The 27,279-nt window shown below is 41.5% G+C and overlaps 1 protein-coding gene across 3 annotated transcripts in view; it reads right to left on the reverse strand.

The window, feature by feature from the left end:
* Nucleotides 1-27,279, reverse strand: part of SERGEF (secretion regulating guanine nucleotide exchange factor) — a 225,000-nt gene that overhangs the window by 148,673 nt on the left and 49,048 nt on the right. For 2 of the 3 annotated variants that reach the window (NR_104040.2, NM_012139.4), the window contains exon 9: nt 22,750-22,916. The exons of the other annotated variant lie outside the window; for it this stretch is intronic. Coding sequence is in view for 1 of the 2 variants with exons in the window: in NM_012139.4 (NP_036271.1) it covers nt 22,750-22,916 (167 nt within the window). In the remaining variant the exon portion in view is untranslated. The remainder of the gene's footprint in view (nt 1-22,749; nt 22,917-27,279) is intronic. 3 annotated transcript variants of the gene reach the window in all.

A 27,279-nucleotide genomic window follows, 5' to 3' on the forward strand; every position in this document is an offset into this window, starting at 1 on the left:
AGGATGCCAAGAGTACATGAGATACCATTTCGTGGGTACAGGGAGTTTTCAAATGAAGTACTTCAGACACTCAGGCATCTGCCCCTATACTGGTGATGAGCGTAGGGATCAAGGATGAGAATGTGAACTTTAATAATTCTTGCCATCCTAAATATGTGTCAAGAGCCTTTTAAAAGTCTGTATCTTTTCATCCAGGAATCCTAATCCTAGAAATCCTTCCTGAGAAAATAATCAGAGATTTGACCAAAGATTTAAGCACAAAGATGCTGATCATAGCATAATTTTTGGTAGCAAAAACCTGGGAACAACCTAAATTTCCAAAAATAATCACATAAATTATGGCATATTCAAATAATACAATATTATTTTTAAATGTTAAATAGTTACTTTATAATATTTAATAATATAGATAAATGTTCCTAATATAATTGTAGGTGGAAATATGAATATAAAGCAAACATACTATCTATAATGTCTCATATTTTTAAAAAATACGTGTAGAAAAAAATATTTAAAATGTACTACAATGGGCCGGGCATGGTGGCTCACGCCTATAATCCCAACACTTTGGGAAGCCAAGGTGGGTGGATCATTAGAAGCCAGGAGTTCAAGATTAGCTTGGCCAACATAACCAAATTCCATCTCTACTAACAAAGAAATACAAAAAACAGCCAGGCGTGGTGGTGCGTGCCTATAGTCCCAGCTACTTGGGAGGCTGAGGCATGAGAATTGCTTCAACCCAGGAGGCAGAGGTTGCAGTGAGCTGAGATCGTGCCACTGGACTCCAGTCTGGGTGACAGAGAAAGACCTTCCCTCAAAAATAATAATAATAATAAATAAAATAAAATGTATTACAATGGTATAAGTGGTTTTCCCTAAGTTGTGAAATTACAGATGATTTTGGTGTTCCACAATTCTACAATAAGCATGCACACTTTCTATAACATGAAATTTAATATTATTTTTAAAAATTCCTGTCCTACCTACCTCACAGAGGTAGACAAAAAAACAATATAAAGATGAACTTTCTAACAGTAAGAACTATCCTAAAATGGAATCTTTGGGGAGAGAGTTCAAGCTAGCAGTATGTGACCACATGGCCCCTGATTAGGTTAGACTTTAGAGACCTGGAATTCTACAGCCCCCTGTGAAATATCTCTACCCACAGGATATGTTACCCCATCCTTCCTGCCTAGTACCCTGATGCTCAGTGGTACATACTATTGGGGATAAAGCAAGTAGTCAGTGGCCAAGAAATAGAGATCCTCCAGGGGAACAACCCTAGCAGTCAGTGGCCACTATGCCATCACCAGCTTGGCCACTATGCCATTACCAGCTTCTAACACCACAAGTAGTAAAAGCCCCTCTGTCCAGCAAACATATTGCTAGGACCTCTGCTACTGGTTCTAGGACACTGTGCTCATGGACTTCTCTGAGGACCTAAAGTGGTCCAAAGGCTTCACTTTGCAGCTGTGGTCCCATATATACCATGGGAAAGGAAAGGAGGAGTCAGACTGTCAAATACAACCATCAGACATTTTATTCTTGACCCACCATTGGGTTTGGCCCACCAAGTATTTTAAAAGACAATATAGTAGGGATTTGGCTTGGTCACAATATAATATGAGCATCTTAACTTATACCTATATCCCTGCAAGCACCTAAAGTTGAGACAGGAAAAGTGAGAGGCAAAGTGACTTGCTGAAAGCCATACAGCAAGTTATCAGCAAGCTAGGTTTAGAACCCAAGTGTCCGGGCTTCCAATTCCATGTGTTACATTACAGAATCCCTAGCTCCTCAGGGACCCTAGACCCCTGATATTAGGAGGACCCCAGACCCCTGATATTAGGAAGGACCCCAGACTCTTCTACCTCCTATGGTTCTCTTTGCCCAAGACTGCAGGACACTTTAGTTATTAAGTTGTCAGTGACTGAGACATGAGGAAATATGAAGTTCATACTTGTAGTTAGGAGTAACTGACAGCAAGCAAACAGAAAAAGACAGGACATCCTTGGAACATATGGGTATATTGGGTACTCTAGACCCAAAATTTTATACAGGAAGTGAAATAGCATCTAATGCTAAGTAGATCTATGATACAAGTGAATATCCATATTCCTCACCAGAGGAGAGAGGTAGAGATACTTCATGGGTATCAGAAGAGGCTGGAGCAATGGACAAATGGGTGTTAGAAAAAAATCAATTGCTACCTTGGCTTCTTGGTCCTCCTTAGCCTGGCTACAGATTTCCTCTCATCAGAGAACTATTATAGGATAGAGCATAATAAATGTAATAAATTCTGAATGAAAGAATGTTTATTCTGGACTCTATTTAAGATGGTGACTCTATCACCTAGGAAAGGGGTGAAGAAGTCTGGTGTGTTATATTTTTCCTACCATTCCACATTTTCATATTATCAGAAAAGAAATGTTAAAAGATTAGAAAGTGGAGCAGGAGTAGGAAGACAAGAGTGGCAGAACAAGGAGAACAAGAGGGGAAGGTTGGGGTAGAGAAAAGACATAAGAATAGAAAAGCATTAATAGTAAACAAGTCAGATGACAATCCTGGAAACATAAGTTATTTGCTTTCTAATTTAAAAAGGAAAGTAGACTTCATTATTCAGACTTCTATTCACTCACCAACCTGTCTTCAGCTCCCTCCCCGGTCTGATGGCTTCCAAGATAATGAAATATCAAGGTAAATCAGGCAAGAGTATTTGAGTGTGGACAGAAAAATCTAACTCCCCTGAGCCCCACCTGTTGCACTGGAACACTCTGAAATGCCATGAGTCTTCTCAGCTGGGAAGACTGCTAAGAATGGTGAATTAATTTGGGCATTTCAGCACAGAGAAGCTGAGGTGCCACCTCACTGCATGAATACAGTATGCTTCCTCTGGATCACCAGGTATGCCTAGGCATCACAGGCAGCATGACTCCTGACAGATGGGGCAGCCCTTGGGGGAAAGGGAGAGCCAATGAGCCAGAAGGGAGCAATGACACAAGGGATATCCCAAAAGTGCAAACACAAAGCAAAGGCCAGCCTTTGGGTCAAATCCATAGCTCCGTGGGACCCTGTCCAACTGGCAGCAGATGGCTGTTCTATTCTAGACTTGGCCATTCCTCTTAGAAAACCTCTTTGGTAATAGGGTTGTCAGTCCCTTTCTCAGTCTAATGAATGCTCAGACATCAAAAGGACATGCAAGCAAGAATGTCACCAATATTTTCAGCAATATTTGAAAATCAGAAGGAACAGTTAGTTACTTGTTTTATTTGGAATTAAACATGTTTATTACAGAGGAAAGAGCCCCAGAAAAACCTTTCTAATAAAACAGGCAGTATACTATCTAGCCTGGTTCCTCCTTTCCACCTCCAGTCTAACAAAGAAGAAGAAAGCTGAATGGGAAGAGGTCTAGCAAATGAACTGAGTCCAGTATGGTGGGTTCAACAGGGAAGTTAGAATAGCACGTTTCAGACCAAAAAAGAGGGGTCAAAGAAAACCCAAGCCACCTTGCACTCTAAACATTCCTCTCCTTGTGGGCAAGACATCAATATCCCAGGATGCTAACAAGGCCATCTGGGATAGAGGAAAAGACGGTGCATGGTGAGTCAAGATTATCTGGGTTGAAGGCCCTGCTCAGCTATGCAGCATACTTAGCCTCTTTGAGTTCCAGTGACCGCATCCCCCACCACCGCCCACCCAACTGTAAAACAGAGACAATAACATGTACATAACTTATTATTACTAATGGCAGAAATAAACAAGACAGTGTACATGTAGAATGCTAGGTAAGGAAGCCCTCAATGTCAGTTTCCCATGCTCTGCCCAAACCCACACACAACCATTTCTTTGAAAAATGGTGATCAGTCTTTTTTTCTCTCTCTCTCACTCTGTTGTCCAGGCTGGAGTGCAGTGGTATGATCATCGCTCACTGCAGCCTTTAACTCCCAGGCTCAAGAGATCCTCCTGCCTCAGCTTCCCGAGTAGCTGAGACCACGGGGACACGCCACCATGACCGGCTTGATGATCAGTCTTACGGCCCCTTTCTAGTGTTCCTTCAGTCTTACACTGGAGAAAGTAAGTGCAAAGGCTGAGATATGAACCACCGCCCAAGGTCAGACCACCCACTGCTCAAGGCAGGCTCCGAGTCACTGTACTTCTGCTGAATTGTGGCCAAAAGCATTACAAATAAGTTTTCTGTTTCCTCACAATTTGGTTTCTCCACCAATATTTATTATAAACATTTTTAAACACACAGAAAAGCTTAAACATACAGAAAAGCTTAAACATACAGAAAAGCTTAAATAATTGTACAATGAACACTCATATTCCTACTACCTAGATTCTATAGTTAACATTTTTCTGTATTTGCTTTAATCACAAATCTAGCCATCCCTCTCTCTATTCACCAATCTTTTTAAATGTATTTTAAAATAAGTTGTAGATACAAGTGTCCTTCACATATGCTGATGAGTCTTTCCTCCAATTTTTAAAATTGTGGCAAATATACATAACATAAAATTTACCATCTTAACCATTTTTAAGTGTACAGTTCAGTGGTGTGAAGTATATTCGCATTGTTCTACAACCATCACCACCATCCATCTCCAGAACTCTTTTCATCTTGCAAAACTAAAACTCTGTACCCATCCCAGGATCATACAGTATCTGTCTTTTTGTGACTAGCTTATTTTGCTTATCTTAAGGTCCTCAAGGTTCATCTATGTTGTAGTATATGTCAGGATTCCCTTCCTTTTTAAGACGGAATGATATTCCATTGCATGTATATATCACATTTTGTTTATCGTCTATCCTTTGATGGACACTTGGGTTGCTTCCACTTTCTGGGTATTGTGAATAGTGGTGCTATGTACATGGGTATGCATATATATCTTCACGATTCTGCTTTCAACTCTTTTGGATATATATCCAGAAGTGGAATTACTGGATCATATGGTAATTCTATTTTTAATGCTCTGAGGAACTGTCATGCTGTTTTCCACAGCAGCTGCACTATTTTACGTTCCCACCAATAGTGCACAAGGGTTCCAATTTCTCTACATTCTGGCCATCACTTCTTATTTTCTGTTTGGTATAGTAGCCCTTCTAATAGGTGTTGGGTGGTATCTCATTGTGGTTTTGATTTGTACTTCTCTAATGATTAGGGATGTTGAGCAACTTTTCACATAATCTTGGTCATTTGTATATTATCTTTAGAGAAATGTCCATTCAAGTCCTTTGCCCTTTTTTAAAATTGGGCTGTTTGGTTTTTGTTGTTGCTGAGACCTTGTAGATTTATAGCAAATTTGAAGTCGGGTTAGGTGGATCTTGCAACTTCATTCTTCTTTTCCAAGATTACTTTGGATAGTCACAGCCTTTTATGTTTCCATATAAATGTCAGAATCAGCTTATCAACTTCAACCCCCAAAAAAGTCTCTTGAGATTTTGATTGGGGTTGCTTTAAATCTACAAGTCAACTTGGGAAGACCTGACAAGTTAACAACATTGAGTTTTCCAATCTGTGAGTGTGATATCTCTCTCCAATTAATTGGGTCTTTAACTTCTCCCAGCAGTGTTTTGTAGTTTTTATGTACAAGTCTTGCACGTTTTTGTTAAGTTTATACCTAAATATTTTGTACTTTTTGATATAACTGTAAAATTATAATCGTAAAAAAACTGCTTTTTAAAAATTTTCCAATTCTTTGATGCTGCTATATAAAAAAAAAGTTGATTTTTGAACGTTGATTTTGTACCTTGCTAAATTGCCATTTTGGTTCTAATAGTTATTTTATAGATTTGTTAGATTTTATAATTCAACAATCATATCATCTGTGAATAGAAACAGATTTACCTCTTCTTTTCTGATTTTAAGCCTTTTATTGCTTTTTCTTGCTTTATGGCACTGGCTAGAACCTCCATCCAGTATAATAGTGAATAAAAATGGTGAGAGGACATACTTGCCTCATTCTGATCTAAGAAGGAATACATTAAATTTTTCACCATCAATTATCATGTTAGTGCTTTATAAGTGCCCCTTATTAAACTGCAGAAATTCCCTTCCATTTCTAATTTGCTAAGTTTTTATCACAAATAAATGTTAAATTTTGTCAATGATTTTTCCACAACTGTTGAAGTTATTATTATGGTTTTTCTCCTTTATTTTGTTAATACATGATGAATTAAATTGATTTTCAAGTGAAAAAGCAAGCTTTCATTCCTGAGATAACATAGTTTGGTCATGATATATTATCCTTTTTAAATATTAATGGATTTGATTTGCTAATATTTTGTTGCAGATTTTTGTGTTTATGTTCATAAGGGATACTAATCAATAATTTTCTTTTTTGTAATGTCTTTGGTATCAGAATTATGCTGACTTCATAAATTTGGAAGTGTCCCCTCCTTTATTTTCTGAGTTTGTGTAAAAATAGTACTATTTCCTTACTTAAATATCTGATAAAGTTTATTAGAGAAACCACCTAGGCCTAAAGAGTTCTTTGTGGAAAAGTTTTTGATAATAAATTGATTTCTTTACTAGACATACAGATATTCTGATTTTCTATTTCAATTTCCTCTTGTGTTTTTGTACACTGTAGTTTTTCAAAAATTAATCCATTTTATCTAAGTTGCTGAATTTATAGGCATAAAGTTATTTGTAATATTTCCTTAGTCTCCTTTAATGTCTACATAATCTGTAGTGACATACCTACTTTCATTTCTAATATTTGCATTTTGTGACCTTGTTTTTCCTGATAGTCCAGGTAGGGCTTTATCAATTCTGTTGATATTTTCAAAGAATTGCTTTTGAACTTTTATTTTTCTCTCCTTTCTATTTCATTAACTTCTGTTCTTTCCTTTATTATTTTCTTCTTTCTATTTACTTCAGGTTTATTTTTACTCTTTTTCCAACTTCTAAAGGTAGAACCTTAAGCAGTTGAATTTAGTCCTTTTTCTTTTCTAATATATTCATTTAAAGATATAAATTTCCCTCAAAGTACTGCTTTAGCTGCATCCCACAAACACTGATGTGCTCTACTTTCATTATTGTTCGAAGTTTTTCAAATCTTTTTATTTTGAAGTAAATTCAAACCTAGATAAAAGTTGAAAGAACCACACAAAGAACTCCTGTTTACAATTAACTCATATTCCCAAATCTCAACGTTTCACTAGCTTTGCTCGCTATATCCCCTTCCCTCTATTTGTTTTTTGGTTTATTTGTTTGTTTTTTGAGACAGAGTCTGGCTCTGTTGCCCAGGCTAGAGTGCAGTGGTGCGATCTCAGCTCACTGCAACCTCCACCTCCCAGGTTCAAGCGGTTCTCCTGCCTCAGCCTTCCAAGTAGCTGAGACTACAGGCACGTGCCACCATGCCCAGCTAATTTTTTATATTTTTAGTAGAGACGGGGTTTCGTCGTGTTAGCCAGGATGGTCTCCATCTCCTGACCTCATGATCCGCCCGCCTCGGCCTCCCAAAGTGCTGGGATTACAGGTGTCAGCCACCGTGCCCGGCCTTTATTTTTTTCTAAACTGTCTCTGATCAAGTTGCCAAACTTGATGCCCCATTATTCTAATATGTCAGTGTGTTTGCCACCAAAATTGACATCACTGTCTACATAACAATTCAACCATCAAAACTAAAAAATAAACACTGATATGTAACTTTCAAGAAGCTTCAGACTCTAATTTAGGTTCTACCAATTGCCCCAGTAATGTCCTTTACAACAAAAGGATCCAGTTCACAACTGTACATTTCATTTAGTTGCTATGTCTCTTTAGAATCTTTCAACCTGGAACAGTTCCTCAGTCTTAACTTCCAGGACCTTGACACTTGTGAAGAATGTGCCTGCTTTTGGTCACTCTCCATTTCCTTCAGGTAGTTTTTTTCACATTTTGTCTGAGTTTATAGTTGATTTCTGTAGGAGGACTGGTCTGATAGAAACTACTGCACCACTACCAGAAATGGAATTGAGATGAGATTCAATTCTCTTCTGAGCACAGATCCCGCATGAAAAACCCGCTTCTCTCTGTTTGATTAGCATGGCAGATCTCACATTTACAAAACAGGAACAGCTATATTATACAGCCTCATAACATTTCATAAAACTTTTCCAAATATCTACTTCATTATTATAATTAAGATGATACCGACACAGAATTAAAAGATCAAATAGTACAGAAAAGTATAAAATGAAAAGAAAAGGCCTTCCTGCCTAACATTAAAAGAATGATCTCATGAACAAAGTCTCTCTATTCTATGCTTGCCATATCAGTGATAAGAAAACTAGAGGAAACTTAGGCTGGAAATCAGAAGATATAAGTTTCCAGTCCTAATTCTACTGCTCCAAAAATGGCCTTAAATAAGCCACTTACTCATATTTGATACACAATTAGCACTTTTCTCAGCTGCTAGGAGTATATTGAATTGTTCTGTGCCTAACTTTCCTTATCTGAAAAACATACATAGCACAAACCATCTTTTCTATATGCCGCCTAGGTAGGAAACACAATGATTTAATAATGTATGTTTGAGTGTGCTGAAAGCACAATACAAATATAATAATACATCAGGTATTACACCTCTGGAAAAATCAAATGGAAATTAGAAGCCTTGGTTGGAACATAGAAGAATCTATGCTCTATTTAGTTTTATATTATTACACTATCTATACCTGCACTGTCCAGTGTGGTGGCTACTAGCCACATGTGGCTACTGAAATCTGAATTAAAATTAAATAAAATTAAAAATTCAGTCAGTCGGTTACTTTAACCATATTTCAAGTGCTAAGTAGCCACATGTGGTTATTAGCTATTGTATTAGACTGATACAGACCTTTTCCATTATCCTAGAAAGTTCTACTGGACAGCACTGATCCATACAATTTTATACTATGCATTCTCTTACTTGCCTGATTTTAATGTTATTGTTGTGGAACTAATACACAGCAGCTAGCCTGCCACTATAAAACAAAACAAATAAACCCAGCACTTTGGGAGGCTAAGGCAGGCGGATTACCTGGGGTCAGGAGTTCAACACCAGACTGACCAACATGGAGAAACCCCATCTCTACTAAAAAACAAAAACAAAAGCAAAAACAAACAAACAAACAAAATAATTAGCTGGGCACAGTGGCACGCACCTGTAATCCCAGCTACTCACGAGGCTGAGGCAGGAGAATTGCTTGAACCCAGGAGGCAGAGGTTGCAGTGAGCCGAGATCACACCACTGCACTCCAGCCTGGGCAACAAGAGTAAAACTCCACCTCAAAAAAACAAAAAACAAAAAACAAAAACTCAAAGGTGAAAAGAAATTGGTCTCCAGGTGATTAAGAGCTCTAGCCAACTAGAATGGTATTGGCCTTAGAACTTTGGAAGAACCCTTGGAACTGCTTCTCATTATACAGATTAGGAAAGTGAGGCTCAGAGAAAGCAAAGTCTCTGGTCCTAGGTCCCACAGGGAGTCAATATCAGAGATGAAAATGGAATCCTGGTATGCAGTAGCATAGGTTTTGCAGTAGGATCAGGGTTTTACTAGCAACTTTGTCATTTACTAATCACGTGACCTTGGACTAACGACCACCACTGAGTCTCACTCTCTTCAACTGCAAACGGAAGAATAATAATCCCTACTCTGCAAGACTGTCATGAGGATTAAAGAGATGGTGCCTAGAAAGTGCTTAGGAGAGAATCTGGCATCTACTGGGACTTGGTGTATGCTACCTGCTGTCATTATTAGCAAATACATTGCTCTTTCCACTGCATCACAGACCCTGATGAGGGAGGCTGTGGCCACCAGATAGATCATCATCATGGAGCTAGTGAGTGTTGTAAGGCACGGGGAAATTATGCAGCTTTACAAAATGTGCCAGGGGAGCAGAATGATAAATGCATTATACAGCAGTAACTACAGAACTGCTCCCAAAAGTCCCCATGCAACAGCAGAAATTTCACCTTGAGGGGTGCAAAGGGAAATGCACCATTTGCACGCCTCTGTGTTCTCACCCTAAAATAGGTGTCTGAGGAATGGAGCAATGCAGATTGAAAAAGATGCCTATATTTCTATGCCCCTCATGCTGAGACTACTGGAGGAGTCAGCATTCTGTTTTTGTTTCTCTCCCTCCAGAACTAATACATTATAACTCTGTTAGCAACCAATACAGCTATCTCATGACAGATCTCTCCAAGCCTGCTTCAGAGTAGATGGAGATGGAGCCCCCAAGGCTTCTCCAAGTGCCTGCTATGTGACTTAGCCCCTCATTCCCTGCCTAACAGGGTAAGACACACAAAAAATCTTAAGATACAGTGCCCACTCAGTAGCAACATATACTTTCCTCTGGAAGACCACCACACATGGGATAATCAGATGTTACAATACAATCAAATACTAATAGGTGATTCAAACTCTGAGTTAAGATTTCCGTTCAATTCAATAACAAATCCCAACCATTTGCTTTCTGATAGGCACTGTGTCATGCACTAAAGTTACAGCCACAATCAAGATATGGTGCCTATCCTCAAGTAGCTCATACTTGAAATGGCAACTGAAGTTGTCCAGAAAAGATTCCACTGGGCAAGCTCTAATCTGAGCCTTGTAAAGTGGTACATTTTGGATGTGCAGGTAAGGGGGCTAGGAATGAGATACTCCAAAACTCATACTTCCCGCCACTGTAAACAGAAACAGAACACAAACCCAAGAAAGAATCATGAGGAATTAAAACATCTTTTCTCAAGTCTTCAAAGGCATGCTTTACTGTACCAGCTTTAAAGTGGTGGTTTCTAGGGAAGGAAAGCCTCTTGGGTGGCTCTGTTTACCTCCACTAGTTTGTGCCCAGACACCAAGGGAGGGAAGAATGAGCTGTTACAGGCTCTGCCAGAAGACTGGCACATCTGGACTTCTAGGAGTTGGGGTGAGCACCAAGCCACAGTCACCTCTTTGCCCTTCAACCTGGAAAACCACCATCCAGTCACCTGTATGTCCTCTAGTCCACACTGCTGCCACTATGTTAGCTCTGGTATTTCCCAGCTTTGTCCTTAAATAAGTTACCTCCCCAGGTTTTGGTTCCCTCATCTACAAAATAAGGATAAATTATTATACTGCTTCATGGGAATGTGTTAAGAATTAAAAGTGATGCTTATAAAGTGCTTAGCATAATACATGGCATGTAGTCAATGTTCGACAAACAGGAACTAACATTATTATTACCTCTTTTAAAAAATCCAATTGTTCCTAATCCATTCTTTTTTTTTTTTTTTTTTCTGAGACGGAGTCTTGTTCTATCACCCAGGCTGGAGTACAGTAGCACAATCTCAGCTAACTGCAACCTCCATTTCCCAGCTCAGCCTCCCAAGAGGCTAGGACTACAGGTACACATCGCCATGCCTAATGTTTGTGTTTTTTGTAGAGACAGGGTTTTGCCATGTTGCCCAGGCTGGTTTCATGTGATCCACCTGCCTCAGCCTCCCAAAGTGCTACAAGAAATTCGTTTCCGAAAAACCAATGTAAGAAATCTATAAACAAAACGTACATTTGTTTATTGCTTCATAGTTGATAAAATGCTTTCACATCCCTGACATCATTCTGACAACTTACAAAGCTAAATCCAATAAGAATTATTATATCTATTTGACAGATGCAAAATCTGAGACTCAGAGAAGTAAAAGCAGCTGTCCAAAGATCAAGCCGCAGTGTAGTCTCTTGATTCTTCCAAGTCCTTCCCCTATTTGTTGCTCCCTCGTGCAGACCCGATCGTCAAATGATATGCATGCTCCCCACGTAATTAATAAGAAATCTTATCAGTGGGGACCACAGTGAAATAAAACCACAGAGAAGAAACTAAAAAATTACTGAATCACCTTTTTGAAGCGAGGGACTTTCCTCAGCCAGTCTTGGGAGTGCTGCTTACAGTGACATAAACATTTTGTTCAGCAGCCATGAGCAACCTTCCCTAGCCAGCTGGGTCTCCTGAAGTGGCACATGGGGAGGCCCCTGTGGGAGCCACAGTAGCCTCCCAGCACCTGTGAGTGGGACCCCACTCTACCTCCTACTTTGCTTTCCACTTATACTTCTGGTTCCTCTGAAAAGCCAGAGGCCTCACAATTAATTATTGTAGCAGTTGCTCCTTTTGCAAAGATATCTCTGATTCCTTCCATTTCTGCTACCCATAGCCAGTCTCCCTGAGTCTTGGATGACACCAGACATCCAGTAAAAAGAGCTCTCTTCCAAACAGTAATCTTCAGATGCAGGAGGTGGTGGCCACCACTGGCAGTGTCCCCACAGACAGAACCACTATATCACAAAGGGAATTATGTAACCATACAAAGATTAACCTCCCCCTTCTAGTCACAATTCACCAGTCCCTCTAACAACTGGCTGGGGATCTTGGGGGTCTAAAGGCTGCATCCCAAGGGAATGGTGTGGTTTTGCTTCCCTGAAAGTGACAAGAGGAATGTTTTCTCTTTATCTACCTCAAGAGGTGCCTACCAGGCAAGGCCTCAGTGGTTCAGGACATTTCAGGCAAAGAAGAGGCTGGAGCCAGACGGCAGTCATCTTTGGGGAAGATGGGGAACTACAGGGCTCGCTCCTAAGGCAGCTATCCAATATAAAGTACCCAATGGAGCCTGGCAAAGAGAGGCTTAATTCAGGTCAGTGTAAACAACAAGGAGGTCCCATTGGTCAGAAAGCTTCCAAGCAAGAAGCTCCAAGGAACAGCAACCCTTGGAATCAAGCAGATGGCCTTATATAGGGGAATGAGCCACTCAGAACAAAGTCCCAAACAGTGACTAAGGATCCAGGACACTGAGTCCAATCCCTGCGCAATGGGACTGGCAAAACCCATACCCTGCTCAGCATAGGGTTTTTGTGCAAGTAGAACTGGGAGAGAGATCTAGCTGTCTGGATGTGGCCAAAGCAGGAGGGAGAAAGTGTTTAGGAAAGGCAAAAGGGAGGTCAGGGCTCATCACATCCCAGAGCCAGGCCACCAACAGCCCAACAAATTCCAGGCCTAAACCCAAGGGCAGGGGAGGTAAAGGGAGGGTGGAAAAGTGCTTCAGGGACAGCTGCTCAACAGAGCCAAGGAAGGTGGATAATGACACTACGCAAAGAAAAACTCAACAGAGAAAGTAAGAAGAGGCATGTTTGTAAGACTAGGTGGCAGGAATACCAAGATGATTATAAGACATCATCCTTGTTAGCTACTGAGAAATAGGTAGTAGTTGTCCAAGGAGCCAAAGGCAAAGGGAAGCAGAACCAGCATGCAAAGACCCAGAAGTATCAAAAAACCTGATGCATTATTGGTTAGGCATAGATAAACTGCAGAATACAGGGAGAGACTGGTAGAAGGTGAGGCTGGGTATTTTGACAGAAGCTGGATCAAGAAGAGCTTCTTATGAAAATCCAGAGATTTTAGACTTCATTCAGGATAGGAAGCCGTCAGAAAGTAAGGGCACACATTCATCCCTATAACAATCATTTGCTCAGCACCTGCTGTGTGCTGGGTGCTATGCAAGGTGATGAGGAGACAGTGGTGAACAAGGCCAACAACAGTCCTGGAGCTTACACTCTAATGACTCCATTCTTTGCACACTGGCTGTGCAGTTTATGGGTTGTGTGTTTCTCCTACCCATTGAGAATAGAGGCTGGGTCTTAATCTCCACTATATCTTAAATGCTTGGCTAAGTTTCTTTCACATAGAAAGTCGCTATCTAATAAGTGTGTATTATGGGAATAAATGTTTTCTGTATTTTCTAAGAGTCTAAAGAAAAAGAGCATAGTGCAATCAGATTTCTATTTCAGTACATCACTTTGGCAACTGGTTGTGGGCAACTGGGGTGAAACCAAACTAGAGACAAGGGCTTACCAACTAAGAAGCTGTCACTGTATTAGGCACTAGATAATGAGGGTCCAAACTAGAAGAATAGTGGTAGAAATGGAGGTAGTTTTAGTCCCCTGACAAGCCAATTCATGTGCAGCTCATTCAGCCTTCACAGACCTAGAATTGCTCTCAGCAGACCACTGAAGCCTCCTTTAAATCCTCATTGCCTTCTGTTTTCACTCTAAACCTCTGCATGATTTACTTTCACCCTGGGACAGCCCAGTTTTCAAGGTCAAATGCAACAAAAGACAGCTGGTCAGCTCCAGGGTGACCCTGGGCAAAGCCTGGGGCGGTTGTACCTCTGCAGAGCATGGTAGTAACATATGAGGTCACTAGGACTTTAAATCAGTGCTGATGAATTTCCTCTGCTGCTGAAAAAAAAGCAAGCCAGAGATATCCTTGCTGTCAATGCTGATGGCTGCCTCAACAGGAATTCATACTCTGATGCTGCAGGGAGATTGGCTGGATTATCAAGCATCTAGGCTCCACTATCTTCACTGGTTCTAGTTCTAAGAAGTGTTTACAAGATCCATGGTGGTTCTAGGTAGCTCCTAAGATCTCAAGCGATTAAGACAAAACAGCAGCTCTGACCCATACTTTTAACAAAACCTGTACCCGAAGCAGCTCATATGTCATGAACCTAAAAAACAACTTTTTTTGTACATGTACAGCACATTACAGTCTACAAACGCCCTTATATATACTATCTGCATTTTTCTATAACTCTATGGGCAAGATAAAGCAGATATTATTATGTGCACTTTGTGAATGAGAAAGCTAAGGCTTGGAAAGGTTTTGAATGACCCAAAATCATACAGATTGTACAAACAGAACAGAAAGTCCAACCCAAGTCACGCTCTACGTTTAAGACTCTGTCCATCAGACCTCCAACTCCAGCCAGCACGAGTTTACTAGAAGCATGAATTAACTTACTGTCCCAATACTTACTGAGGCTATTCCTTTCCTTGTTGCTTTTCCTGATATGACACTGAGGCAGAGCCTGTAAAGGGCCACCAAGTCTCCATTAGACCTGACTACCATCCAGTGATACCCAAAGCCAGAGCCCAGGGTCACACCCTGATGAGAACTGTCCAGAGAAGAAGCTGTTGGTGTTCAGGGCTAGCAATGAGAAAAATGAGGGGTCTGAGAGCCGGGTTCAAGTCCCTGTTCTGCCATGTACTGTGACTTTGAGCAGTGACAGCTTTCTTTCTCAACTTCAGTTTCCTCACCCCCAGAATGAGGACAGCAGCATCTGCCCTTCCCGCCACTCAGGGGTCAGAGCCAATAATGGTGTCTTCCTTCTCCCATTTCCAGGCAGTCACCTGACAGTGCTGGAAGAACCCATTACAGAGTAAAGTGAACTAGTCCCTCCCAGGTAGCCTCCCTGCCCTAATCTCATCACTCCAGCAGATAATTTTCCTTCCAATCTAACCACGAAGATTTAAGCCAACCAACATGAGCTCTCACACTTTTTTCAGCACAATTCTATTATTACTTACTTTGTACCAAACCTTGCCCTAATTATACAAAGATAAATAATGTCTGTCCTCAAAGAACTTCAAGTTTGATTTAGAAATAGGCATGTTAATAATTACTACATTACTAATAAATACCACATTGCAGTATTGGGCAGCAAGTTTGACTTTTATTTGTGAATTCTTGGTGCCTGTGCATGGCCCACAGTAGGATAAAGTAAACATCTGTTGAATAAATAAATAAAACTAACATAAAACCTGATGACAAAAGAGGTACACAGTTCAATGAAAGCACTCTCTTCTCCACCTCAAAACTTCTCTCTTCACATATCCCCTTGTTTCTTTACTCCAGCACTGAAAGAAAGAAAAGGTCTCCTTTCTTCTTGTCAGAACTGGCCCCTTCACAGTGACCTCAATCCTCTCTCTCATCTTCTTGGGGGCCTTGCTCCAATTCTTCTCCTTTCCTCTTGCAACTTTACTCACTCAGTTTTCTTCCTCTCTCTAAATCTCTCTTTCAGCCTTCTGACGTGCTCTGGTTTCTCCATGCTTACAAAACAAACAGTAACCAATCTCTCTATTCAAGGTACTGGGCTTGTTTTCATGCTCTTTGACCAGAATCTCCTGGAAGGGCTACTCACACCCACAGCCTCTATTTCTCATCACCCGCTCACTCATTTGCTGTGCTCCTGCTTTAGCTTCTACCTTCCCACTGAAGCTGCTCTCTCAAGTGCCACAGCCTCCCAGTCACCAAATCCAGTAGTCTTTACTCCATCTCCAACCTCCGTGACCTCCCTGTTAGCGTTTCCTTGGCTTCTGTGACTCAGCAGTACCTGGCTTCCCTTCTCCCTCTCCTGTCAATACTCAGTCTCTATCTGGCTGCTCTTCCTCTGCTTTCCTCCTCAAGTTCTTGCCAAGATTCCCCTGTTACTTTACTTTTGCTCCCTTGAGCACTAATTTGACATCAAGCCTTCCAATTCAGGAAGGCTTTCCAGTCACAACCTCCCACCCTAGCCCCCACCCCCACCCAGCAGAACCCAGCAAAACCACAGGGATTGAAAATGCCAGAAAGAAAGGGTCACCAAGACACGGGAAGGGACAGGATCAACATATTTTCATTGCCAGACTCTCTTAAAGCCTTTGTCACATTCTGTTTGTCCTACAGGGAACTTAGCCCTGCTACTAACTCACAAGCTCCTAAGGCAGAAACTGTTCCACTCTTCTCTGCTTCCCCTACCCTAATGCTGTGTTCAGACAGATAGGCATACTCAAGCATCTATTGGATTAAAGAAGAAAAGCCAAAGGTGAATAGGCACGAAAGTACTTGGTAAACTGTGAAGTGCTAAAGGACTATGAGACTCATCATCAATAGCCTTTGTAAGAAACTTCAGGGCTGTTCTGAGCACCATATAGGCTCACAGCCTATCTGTGCTGGCTCTGCAGGGCATCTGATGACCAAATGCCTGAAAACATGGAAATGCCTATTCCCAAACTGGCCTGGGATTGAGAAGCACAGACTATGGGGAAGAAGAGAAGAAGCAGTGAAAATGGGTACATACCTCCAAAACCATTACTTTCATTCATTTTTCACTTATTCAGTCAGTAAACATTCACTAAGTACCCACAAGGTGCCAGGGACTATTCTAGACACTGGGATCACAACTTTGAACAAGACAGAGAAGGCCCTTGCTCTCTTGGATTTTCTATTTTAGTGAGAAAAGAGAGATGATAAATATAAATAAGAAAATAGTGGGTGGTAGTAAGTGCTTGTTTCACCATCTCTCTCAAACATGACAGCTCTTCCTCTCTTCTGAGTGTTCATGGGGACAAATCCGGTCCACCACTTTGAGGTTTGTTTTGTGTTATTTCTCCCCCTGCTATGTCAGCAGCTACAGCACAGATGTGCTAGATTTTTAAATCTCCAGTGAAACCATCTTTGGGTGCACACTACTACCCATTTTAAGCACTGCTATCCCATTTCCAGAGGGCTTTAAAACACTGGACCCTGCTACAACTGAAAGGTTTGGCCTGCCTGGGCCCATGGTCTCAGAGACCTCATGCTTCTCTAGGAACAGCAATGATGCTGTGGGTACTTACCAGAGAGCCACTTGGGAATGCTTTTTCAGGTTGTGTTCAATTCTGTCAGAGCCCTCCGGACTCAGCTGATTGCTGGTGGTAGATTTCTGTGTTATTTAGGGCACCAAAGTCCCACAGTCTTGACACAAACTTAAAATTAGAAATGTATTAAATATAGGAAAGGAGGAAGGTCATTCAGGAAAGGCAGTCTTCCGAGGGAGCTGTAGGACAAAGACGCCCTGGAAACTTCCAGGTTCATTAATGGGTTTTACACAAGCATTCAAGTGGTATTTCTCCTTCAGAAATAACACTGTGGAAAGTGTAGGGGCCTGGCTCAAACCTCAGCTAACACAGCTGAGTGAGTGACTCTGCAAACTAAAAATAGCTTCTTTCCCACTCATTCCGACAGATTGCACTTAGACCCTGTGCACAGGTTGATCCTTTAGCAGTTTTAGTCCTGCTGCAAATGAGAGCTGATGGCATTTGGGCTTGACAATTACCCAATCTCTGGTTTAACTTTTATTTCCACATTTCCTGCTCCTGCTCCAATGGCACTGTATGTGCACACACATGCACGTGTATACTGAGTTCCCTGGCTGGGATTTGGTGCTCCTGAACCAAACGTGGGCAGAATTTAAACCAGGAACATGACTCAGGACTGTGGCTGCAGACTGAGCCCAGAGAAAGTCCTTAGAAACACTGGGAGTCAAGCTGTTTGCCTTGGATCTTCTCCTAATTCCTAGCTAGCCTCTCTGGCCTCAGTTTCCTGAATAACAAAATGGGAGTAACCATGCCTATTCTGGCCTATTTCACAGCATCATGCTGGGATCGAATGAGACAATGTATGTGAAGGTCATTTTCCTTCAGACAGTGATGGGACAGGCTAGACAGGCAGCCAGATTACAAAACTAGGTTCAGCCACTAGAATGGGTAGGCATCCTGATTGCATCACAAGTTAAAAGTGATCTAGACTCAATTTCAGTTTATGTTGTCCCTCGGCCTGATATCCTTCTATCTTTGCTAAACTCCTATGCATTTTTAAGAACCCAATTCAAATAACATTTCTTTTTTGTTAGTGTCTTCAGAATTGACCATTCCATCTTTAGTGCTCCTTTGGCCTTTTGTACATACCTCTAATAGCACTTTTCATCTATACAGTAGATATTAACTTACATACCTGGAAGTTCTTTGAGGGCAAAGACTGTGTATTTTTCATCCTTGTATCCACCTCCCCATCCACTTCCACTGTATGGCCAACACTGGTGCATGACAGGTGTCAACCAATGTTTATGGAATGGGCAAGAACTCAAAAGTCAAGAAGGAGGTAAATGTCAGAAAGATCCAGGAGAGCATAAAAGGTGGGACAGCACACAAACAGCCAGTGGTGGGGATGGTGGGCAAGAAATCCAAGAAGGCAGTGTCACTGAGGTCAGTCCTAGGCAATAAGGGCACAGCCATAGGGATGACAGTCAAAGCTGAACTGCAAGTTCTGGGAAGACCAGACAGGGATTTCATCTTGGAAACACAAAGAATTGAACAGGGAGCAGGAGCACTCTCTTGAGGTCCAGGGAATAAGGAACAGCAGCATCATACCAAGTCCCACAACGTAAACTGGAATAGGAGGGCTTGGGGACAAGAAACAAGGGCAGAGAATAGAGGCAGGGCAAAGAATCAGAGCAAGGCTGAAGTGGTCCTGAAGAAGCCTAGAACTTATAGGTTAGTTAACATTCCCAGGTCTGCCAAAGTTGAGTTAGCAGCTAGGGATTAGAGACCTTAGCTATGAAACTGACTTGGAAAGTAGAGAGCTGCTGGGGTATACATGTGCAGTCAAGCAGCAAACAAACCTGTTCACATACATCCTGCCCTGACATGCGCTTGGTGGGATTAATCCAGATCACTGTACTACCCACCCTGGAATTTTCCAGGAGTGCCTAGAGAGGCCCAGTATCTAAGGTAAAACTGACAGAGAATGAAACACAGAAGTTTTTACCACTGTAAGGACATTAAAGGAAGGCCTACAAGGTCTAAAATCTCAAATAAAGTGTTTCTCAGGCTAGAGAGGAGACATGGCTCAGAAGAAAAGAATTGAAACACTTAGGGCATTAGAGACCCTTATTCCCAGATTTCAAGAACCCAGCAAAGGGTTCCACCCAGGAAAGGGCACATAGAAAGAAGGACCTCAATTTTACTTTATCTATAGAGTATGTGACCTTCTTCAAGCACTTCAAGTTCAAGACCCAGGCTCACTGTTTACCTATTGTGTGATCAGTAGAGGCCAGTTGAGTTTACCCATTCTTAGCCTTAGTCTCCTTATTCATAAAGCAGCAATTGTAACACCTGCACACAGGTTTATCATGAAGACAAAATAATATCTGCAAAGCATTTAGCATATTGGCCTATAATAAGCACTAAATAACTTTGTGTTTCTTTGCTTTCTTTGGTTCCCAGGAAGGGATGGTTATACCACAGTCTAGCTCTGTCTACCTGTGTTTTCCTCTCCTGCTTGGCTATCCTTCTGGACCCTTCTTTGCAGACATCCTATCTGAGACACCAGACAATTCACTCCTCCTCCTGCTTATCCCTTGGACATTAAAGGCAACTAAGAAGAATTAAAGGCAGTTGGTCAGCTATGTGCCACACTCAGGTCCTCAAGGGTCAGGAAACATCAGCCTAGTCCAACACTGTTCCTGCACCTCCAGGTATCTCTGCACCTCTCTGGCCAAGCCCATGACCAAGGTAGCACCTAGTTTAGTGTGGCTCTTGTCTTCTCCAAGGTGAACCCACTCTTAGTAGCATATAGCTGCCTCCTGGCCTGGCTCTCTCTTGGCCTCGAGCAAATACATGCCTAGCAGGCCAGACCTGGATATCCACAGCTGGAGACAATTCCCAGACCCAATTTACCAGAGAGTAATAGCCTGGAGTCTGAACCTGAAATGAGATCAGAGCGTCTACACTCCAGCACCCCAGAGACTGGAGCTAGGAAGGAAGGAGCTCTAAAATGAAGCTGCCAGGGGGCTCAGGGCTCAAGCCCACTCCTGATAAGCTACGTAAAATTCACATCAATGTCAGGCTCTTAGACTAAATTTTGCACTGGTCATGTCTGTCACAGTGCTGCATACTGTGGCTACCACATGGCATTAAAAAATTTCAAACGGTAAGAAGAGAATGGAATCAACAGTTTCTGAGTGCCTACTAAGTCAAGAACTTTGCATGTTATCCTTACCAATACCAATACCTTAGGTATTATTATAAAGGGTATACTTATCTTGCCAATAGAACTAGAGACTCGGAAAAATCTAAGAATCCTCTGTTCCTCCACTACTATACTACCTGACCACAAAGTCTTAAATGATCTTGGAAAGACAAAGAAAAACTAGAGTGTAAAGCACTATTTACAGGCTCTCAGCACCTTAACTCACTAAGCAGACAATACTAGTTTAAATACTGCATTCCCTTATTCACTACTGGTAGAGCCAACTTCTGCCAAACACAATCTAAAGAAATATATCAAAAGTCATAAAGATGCTCCGGACCTTTGCCCTTGTCATTGCATCCCCAAGATCATATCTTCAGGAAAACAGTTCAACAGAGATTCACTAGTGGTGGGAAAAAAAAAAAAAAAGGATGATCTAAATGTCTAATATCCAAAGAATGGTTTGAGAAATCCCAGAACCTTCTAATCATGTAATGTTTACTGCATAGCCATTTTAAATGATCATTTTAAAGACCAAGAGGGAAAAAAACAAAGCATCTGTGATAAAATAAAGATTGAAAACAAAACATCATAAATGCTATTGGTACAACTTGTAGAAGTATGGAGATGTGTATACACAAAAAGGAATGTAGCTGTTTTAGGGTGGCAAGATTATGGAAATCTTCCATAATATTAAGTAGTTTCATTATTATTACATGTAAATTGTCTTTGTGGTATTGTTTAGTTCCTTTTCAACCCAAGAGAAAGAGAGAGAAAAAAAGATAGACACACTTAACCCAGCACTACGAAAAGGCCCAGGAAGACCAGGGCTGGGATGTTAAAGCAGAAATTGAGAAGCGTCCTACATACCCGGAAGGAGGAGGCCAGGCAGGGCCCTGGGGAAGGGAAGCCCTCTAGGTATGAAGAGGGTTGTCATTAGTCTGATGCTAATTACAGAAGTCTCACTAGCTTATTAATTTTTTTTGACTGACTCTGAATGAAGACTGAATCCCTTCAGTAAGCCAACTTGGGTTCAGAGGCACATTTCCTGTGTGGCCATCCTCATTCTTCTAAAAAATCTAGCCTTTTCTTTTTTTTTAAGGGTAACAGTAAAGTAAAATTTAGTAACAGAAACGCACACCCTGGAGAAATTAAGATTCCTGCCTTAAATGTAGAAATTCAAGCCATTTCAGAAAATCAAAGGGGTTTGAATAAGCAACTGAACTACAGTGTTTTCTGGACTGGGAAAAATAAACACGAGTATAAAATGTTTAGCTCAGTATTAAAGGCCCCCTTGATCAGGTTCCAGCCCATCTTTCTGATATTACCTCATAACTGTCCTGCCAGATACCCAATGCTCCAGCCAAACTGAACCACCAAGTAGTCCCCAAAATAGTTTCTTCACTTTCCAACCTCCATGACTCTTTTCAAGCTGTTGTGCACACTTAAAATTTCTGTCTTACAACTGCTTGCTCAAGTCTGACCCATCCTCCAAAGCACAGATCAGAGCCTTGTCATTTTCTTTTTTTGTTGTTTTTTTTGTTTTTGTTTTTGAGACAGAGTCTTGCTCTGCCCCCACCCCCCTCCAGGCTGGAGTGCAGTGGTGTGATCTCAGCTCACTGCAACCTCTGCCTCCTGAGTTCAAGCAATTCTCCTGCCTCAGCCTCCCAAGTAGCTGGGACTACAGGTGTGTGCCACCACGCCCAGCTAATTTTTGTATTTTTAGTAGAGACGGGGTTTCACCATGTTAGCCAGGCTGGTCTCGAACTCCTGACGTCAGGCAGTTCGCCCACCTCGGCCTCCCAAAGTGCTGGGATTACAGGCGTGAGCCACCGTGCCTGGCCAGCCTTGTCATTTTCTAAGCCTAGGCCAATCTCTGTACCCTGAATTCATTTCTTGCTCTTCACAGTAGATCCAAAGTACTTTGAACCTCCAAGGAACTACACAAAGTCTGCCTTGCAGTACAGTTATCTGGGTGACTGACTTTTGACCACATTAAAGCATGAGCTCCTTAGGGCAAGGACCTCTTCTGATTCCTACATGGTACCTATCCATAACGCCTGGCACACAGTAGGCCCTCAGTAAATGATTCACTGAAAGACAAGAAAAAGGGACAGATTACATCTGTGAGAAGTCACTTCCTACCTCAGTTGCTCCAGTTAAGCAATGCGGAGACGAAGGCATGCTGTTCGGTGGTCTTGAACAGGGGAGAAATGAATCTTGCTTTTCTAGTTTCCAGCCTTCATAAGTCTCCAACTTCCTCCCTAGCTGACCATAGTCTGCTCGGCCCCAGGTAAACATCTTGCCAGTTTCTAAAAACAAATATTATTTGAATTAAGACTACATTCCACAGCTGTGCTCTCATGGGTAGGCAATGAATTACAAGAGAAAGTGTGACATTTATTTTAGTACCACCTACCAGGAGCCTTCCTATCTTCCTGTAAAGAAGGCACATGCACTCATATTTTTACAGATGTGGAAACTAAGGTTCAGAGAGGTTAAATGACTTGCCCAAGATCAAATAAGCTGTGAGTACCAGAGCTGGATTCAAGCAGAGATTCATTCTAAAGTTTCTGCTCTTGCATGTTATATAGATATGAATATGACTACGGATATACTTCAACCATGCTTTATGGCCTTCCATTCCCTCCCTTCCCCACACACTCCTTGTGCTTTGCCCAGATGCCTGTTCTCAGGCTCTCCTCTCCCCCACCCAACCCAGGGCCCCATTTAGCCACCTTGAAGTTCTCCACTCCACAATCTCTTAGGGCCTAGCTCAATGAATGGCCAGCTTCATTTGCTCTCCCCTCCTTGTAACATAAAGGGACCTTTCAGAATCTATGCTCTTACCCAAAGGAGCAATTCTAACAATCCTAAGGCAAGTGTTTATGTGTGCTAGAGGGAAGGGAGTGAGAGAAGAAAAAAAAAATGGCAAAACCATTTGGAGCCAGAAAAGCATTTAGTCCCCCAGATGCACCACATGGGAAGCTGGCCAGTGCTAAAAATGACAAAAGAAAATGAGATTTGCAAAAGGAGAAATGGACTTTCTTCTCCTAGATAAGAGAAAATTCACCAAATTCATTCAGTTGTACCAAGTGCCACATTTGTTATTTCAACAGAAATGCAAAATCTGATGAGCCATAGATTATTAACAGATTCTCTGCAATAAATATGCATAACCATGTGCGTTGTATAAATTCTTTATACATGTTTATTTTAACAAAGAAAAACTTTGCTTTAGAGACAAAACACAGAGCAGTGCATATTAAATTCTAGACAAATCTACTACTGCATACTTTGTGTTTGGTATCAAAGCTTCATCTGGCCCCACATTCAACATATGGTTTATAGTGTCAGCTAAAAAAATAACCATAGATTCATGGGGAAATGTCAGAATATTGCAGTGATACAAGGCTCTGCAGGGAAACAGTTCTCAGCATCAGCCTGCTAGCAGACACTAAGGTAGATACCAAGCAGTTTACAGGAATCTGACTTTTGGGCTTCCTCAAAGAGGGAACAAAGTCTGCGTAGCTCACAGGGTATTTGGGGTACCTCGTATATTATGAGAGCTGGGAGTAGGTCCATTCAAATGTACTCCTTCATGGCTCTTTGTGTGCTGTTCCTTTTGCTAAGAATGACCTCTCCTTAGCTGGTAAACTATGGCTCCACCGTTGGAGTCCAGCACATGTACCACTAGTTCTATGAAACCTTTCTTGACTCCCCAGCTCTCCCCAGAAAGGGTGAAAGTCACCCTCCTGTGAGCCACCTTTATCATTGTACTCATCCACTACTATGCCGCCATTTGGCAGGTGAAAAAAATTAAGGTTCAGAGAAGTGACTAGCCCAGGGTCACACAGCTAAGCCACATCCCTTTCTACTAGCCCATGGTATTACTCTGCATTGGTTATTAAGCACTAGTCACTGCATAATCACTCAACACTCTTCCTTCACTTCTGCAAGATTAGCCTCTTAAAAACCCATGTGCCCAGGACCCATAGGGCATCCAAAACTGGCAAATTGTCCCTCTACCTGAGCTGGCTAGGATTTCTAACCAGATTGCTCAGCAGGAGATTCCCAAGAAACCAGGGGATGAGACTGTTGCTGCTTAAATGACCGTTCCTCTGCTGGGAAAAACTAGGAAGTTGTTATCTCTAAGACTACAGAAATAATTTTACCAGAAATCACGCATTGAATCCTTTCTTTCACATGAAGTAAAACATCTTAGAGCTTTCCTGTTATTGATTATTGAAGTCAAAGACAGGCAAGACTGGCAGAATATGGTGCCACCATTATTATATCCCCAATAGCAATTCAGCCATTCCACTTACAGAGCACTTTTCACCTTCAAAGCACTTTACAAAGATTAACTAATTAATCCTCATACTCTCTGCGGAGGCCATAGACATTCTGGTTAAGACAAGTCCAGAAACCAGGCTGACTTAACGTTCAGTCTTTAGTCTCAAGCCTAAATTTAACACACTCTGAACTTGTCTATTTCTCCTCAAAATAAACTCTGCATCAGAAGGCTCACCCAGGACAGAAGAGACCCTTTTATTTTTCCTTTTCTTTTAAACAGACATTTACTGACCTCTTCCCAGGTACCCAGTACATTCATTGACGCTGGCTCAATCCTCACAATAATGCTATGGCATATAGAGTATTAAGCTTATTTTACAGATGAGGTTAAATGATGAGAGTTAAATGATTTGGTTGAGTTCAATCAACAACCAAATAGTCGAATCAAGATTTAAACCTGTGTCTTCTGACTCCAGGGCCAGTGGTATCTCCAATGATTGCACAGCTGCTGTCCCAAACTGACAAAACTTGGCTGATGAAATAGCCATTTTTACAATGTTTGAGGAAGACGAAAACCCAGATTAAATGGATATGCTCTGTGTACCATCCAGCTTTCCTCACTAGAATAATCTTCTTCCCAGGAGCCCATGTAGAACTCAGGACTGTAAGTGCTGAAATAAAGGCATAAACACATGGATGATGATTTTATGTCATCTGGAGTAAAAAAAAAACAATGAATCCACATATAAAAAATGCTCATTAATACACTGTAGATGAATGTCTGCATCAAGCTGATGCGTGCTGTCAAATCCAGGGAGATTCAAATCACAAATTTAACAAACGTATCTTCTCCTTAAAGGATTATATATTACTATGATTAAAAAAAATAGATACACTAATGTCATCCAAAAAGTATAGGTATGTGTCTCCAGGTAAATGATAAATGACAGAGATGACAAAATAGCTCAAAACGAAGTCAGCAAGTGCAACACAATTTATAAGGCATGTCCATGTAAGAATTAGCACAGAGAAATAACTACAGAGCCAAGAAGTATAGACTGCAAAAGATATCAACGTACCACAGAAAACGACAGAGGCCAAATGAGAAGTATGGAGAAAGAACACCTAAGGGGTCTGGAACTAGAATTGTCCTGGCAGGCTTGAGGGAACAAGAGGCATTTAAGGTGAACTTCTGGATAAGAAAAGAAAATGGGAGACCAAGGGAGGATATTGCAGGAGCAGCGTGAGGGGATGAGCAAAGATACGAAAATCAAAAGGCGGCCAGGCACAGTGGCTCACGCCTGTAATCCCAGCACTTTGGGAGGCCAAGGTGGGAGGATCACCTGAGGTCAAGAGTTTGAGACCAGCCTGACCAACATGGTGAAACCCCGTCTCTACTAAAAATACAAAAATTAGCTGAGTGTGGTGGCCCACGACCGTAGTCCCAGCTACTGGGGAGGCTGAGGTGGGAGAATCACTTGAACCTGGGAGGCAGAGGTTGCAGTGAGCCGAGATGGCACCATTGCACTCCAGCCTGGGCAACAGAGGGAGACTCTGTTTCAAAAAAAAAAAAAAAAAAAAAAAAAGTCAAAAGGCAGGAGAGTGAATAAGGGTCACAAGAGAAGGAGACTAGAAAGGGAGTCAAGATTGCCAGGCTGGGGCCAGCCACAGAGAAGTGCCATGGCTGGATCTGGATCTCACCCTCCAGACCAGGGATCCCTAAACTTGGTTGCTTACTATTAGTAAAAAAAAAAAAAAAAAAAAAAAAAAAAAAATTTTTTTTTTGACACAGAGTCTTACTGCATTATCCAGGCTGGAGTGCAGTGGCATGATCTTGGCTCACTGTAACCTCCACCTCCTGGATTCAAGCAATTCTCCCGCCTCAGCCTCCTGAGTAGCTGGGAGTACAGTCATGCACCACCATCCGGCCAATTTTTGTATTTTTAGTAGAGACAGGGTTTTGCCATGTTGGCCAGGCTGGACTTGAACTCCTGACCTCAAGTGATCTGCCTGCCTCAGCCTCCCAAAGTGCTGGGATTACAGGTGTGAGCCAACACGCCTGACGTCTATTAGTAAAATATTTTTTAACACATCACCGATATATGTACATTAATTTATTTATTAAAGTATGTACATTAAATTACATTTATTAAAGTAAGTACATTCTCTGTACAGTATCCTGCTTATTCTTGCAACAACCCTGTGAGTTAGGCACTTTTACCATCCCCATGTTACTGACAGGGAACAAGGTACTTACCCAAAGTCACAGAGGTAGCAAGTGAAAAGAGAAGAAAAGAAAGAAACAACAACAATAACACAAGCCTAGGATGCATCAAGGCCTAAACTAGAATAGAAGTCATAGGAAAACAAAGAAGAAAG

The sequence above is a fragment of the Homo sapiens genome, chromosome 11, assembly GCF_000001405.40.
Source record: "Homo sapiens chromosome 11, GRCh38.p14 Primary Assembly".
NCBI lineage: Eukaryota > Metazoa > Chordata > Mammalia > Primates > Hominidae > Homo > Homo sapiens.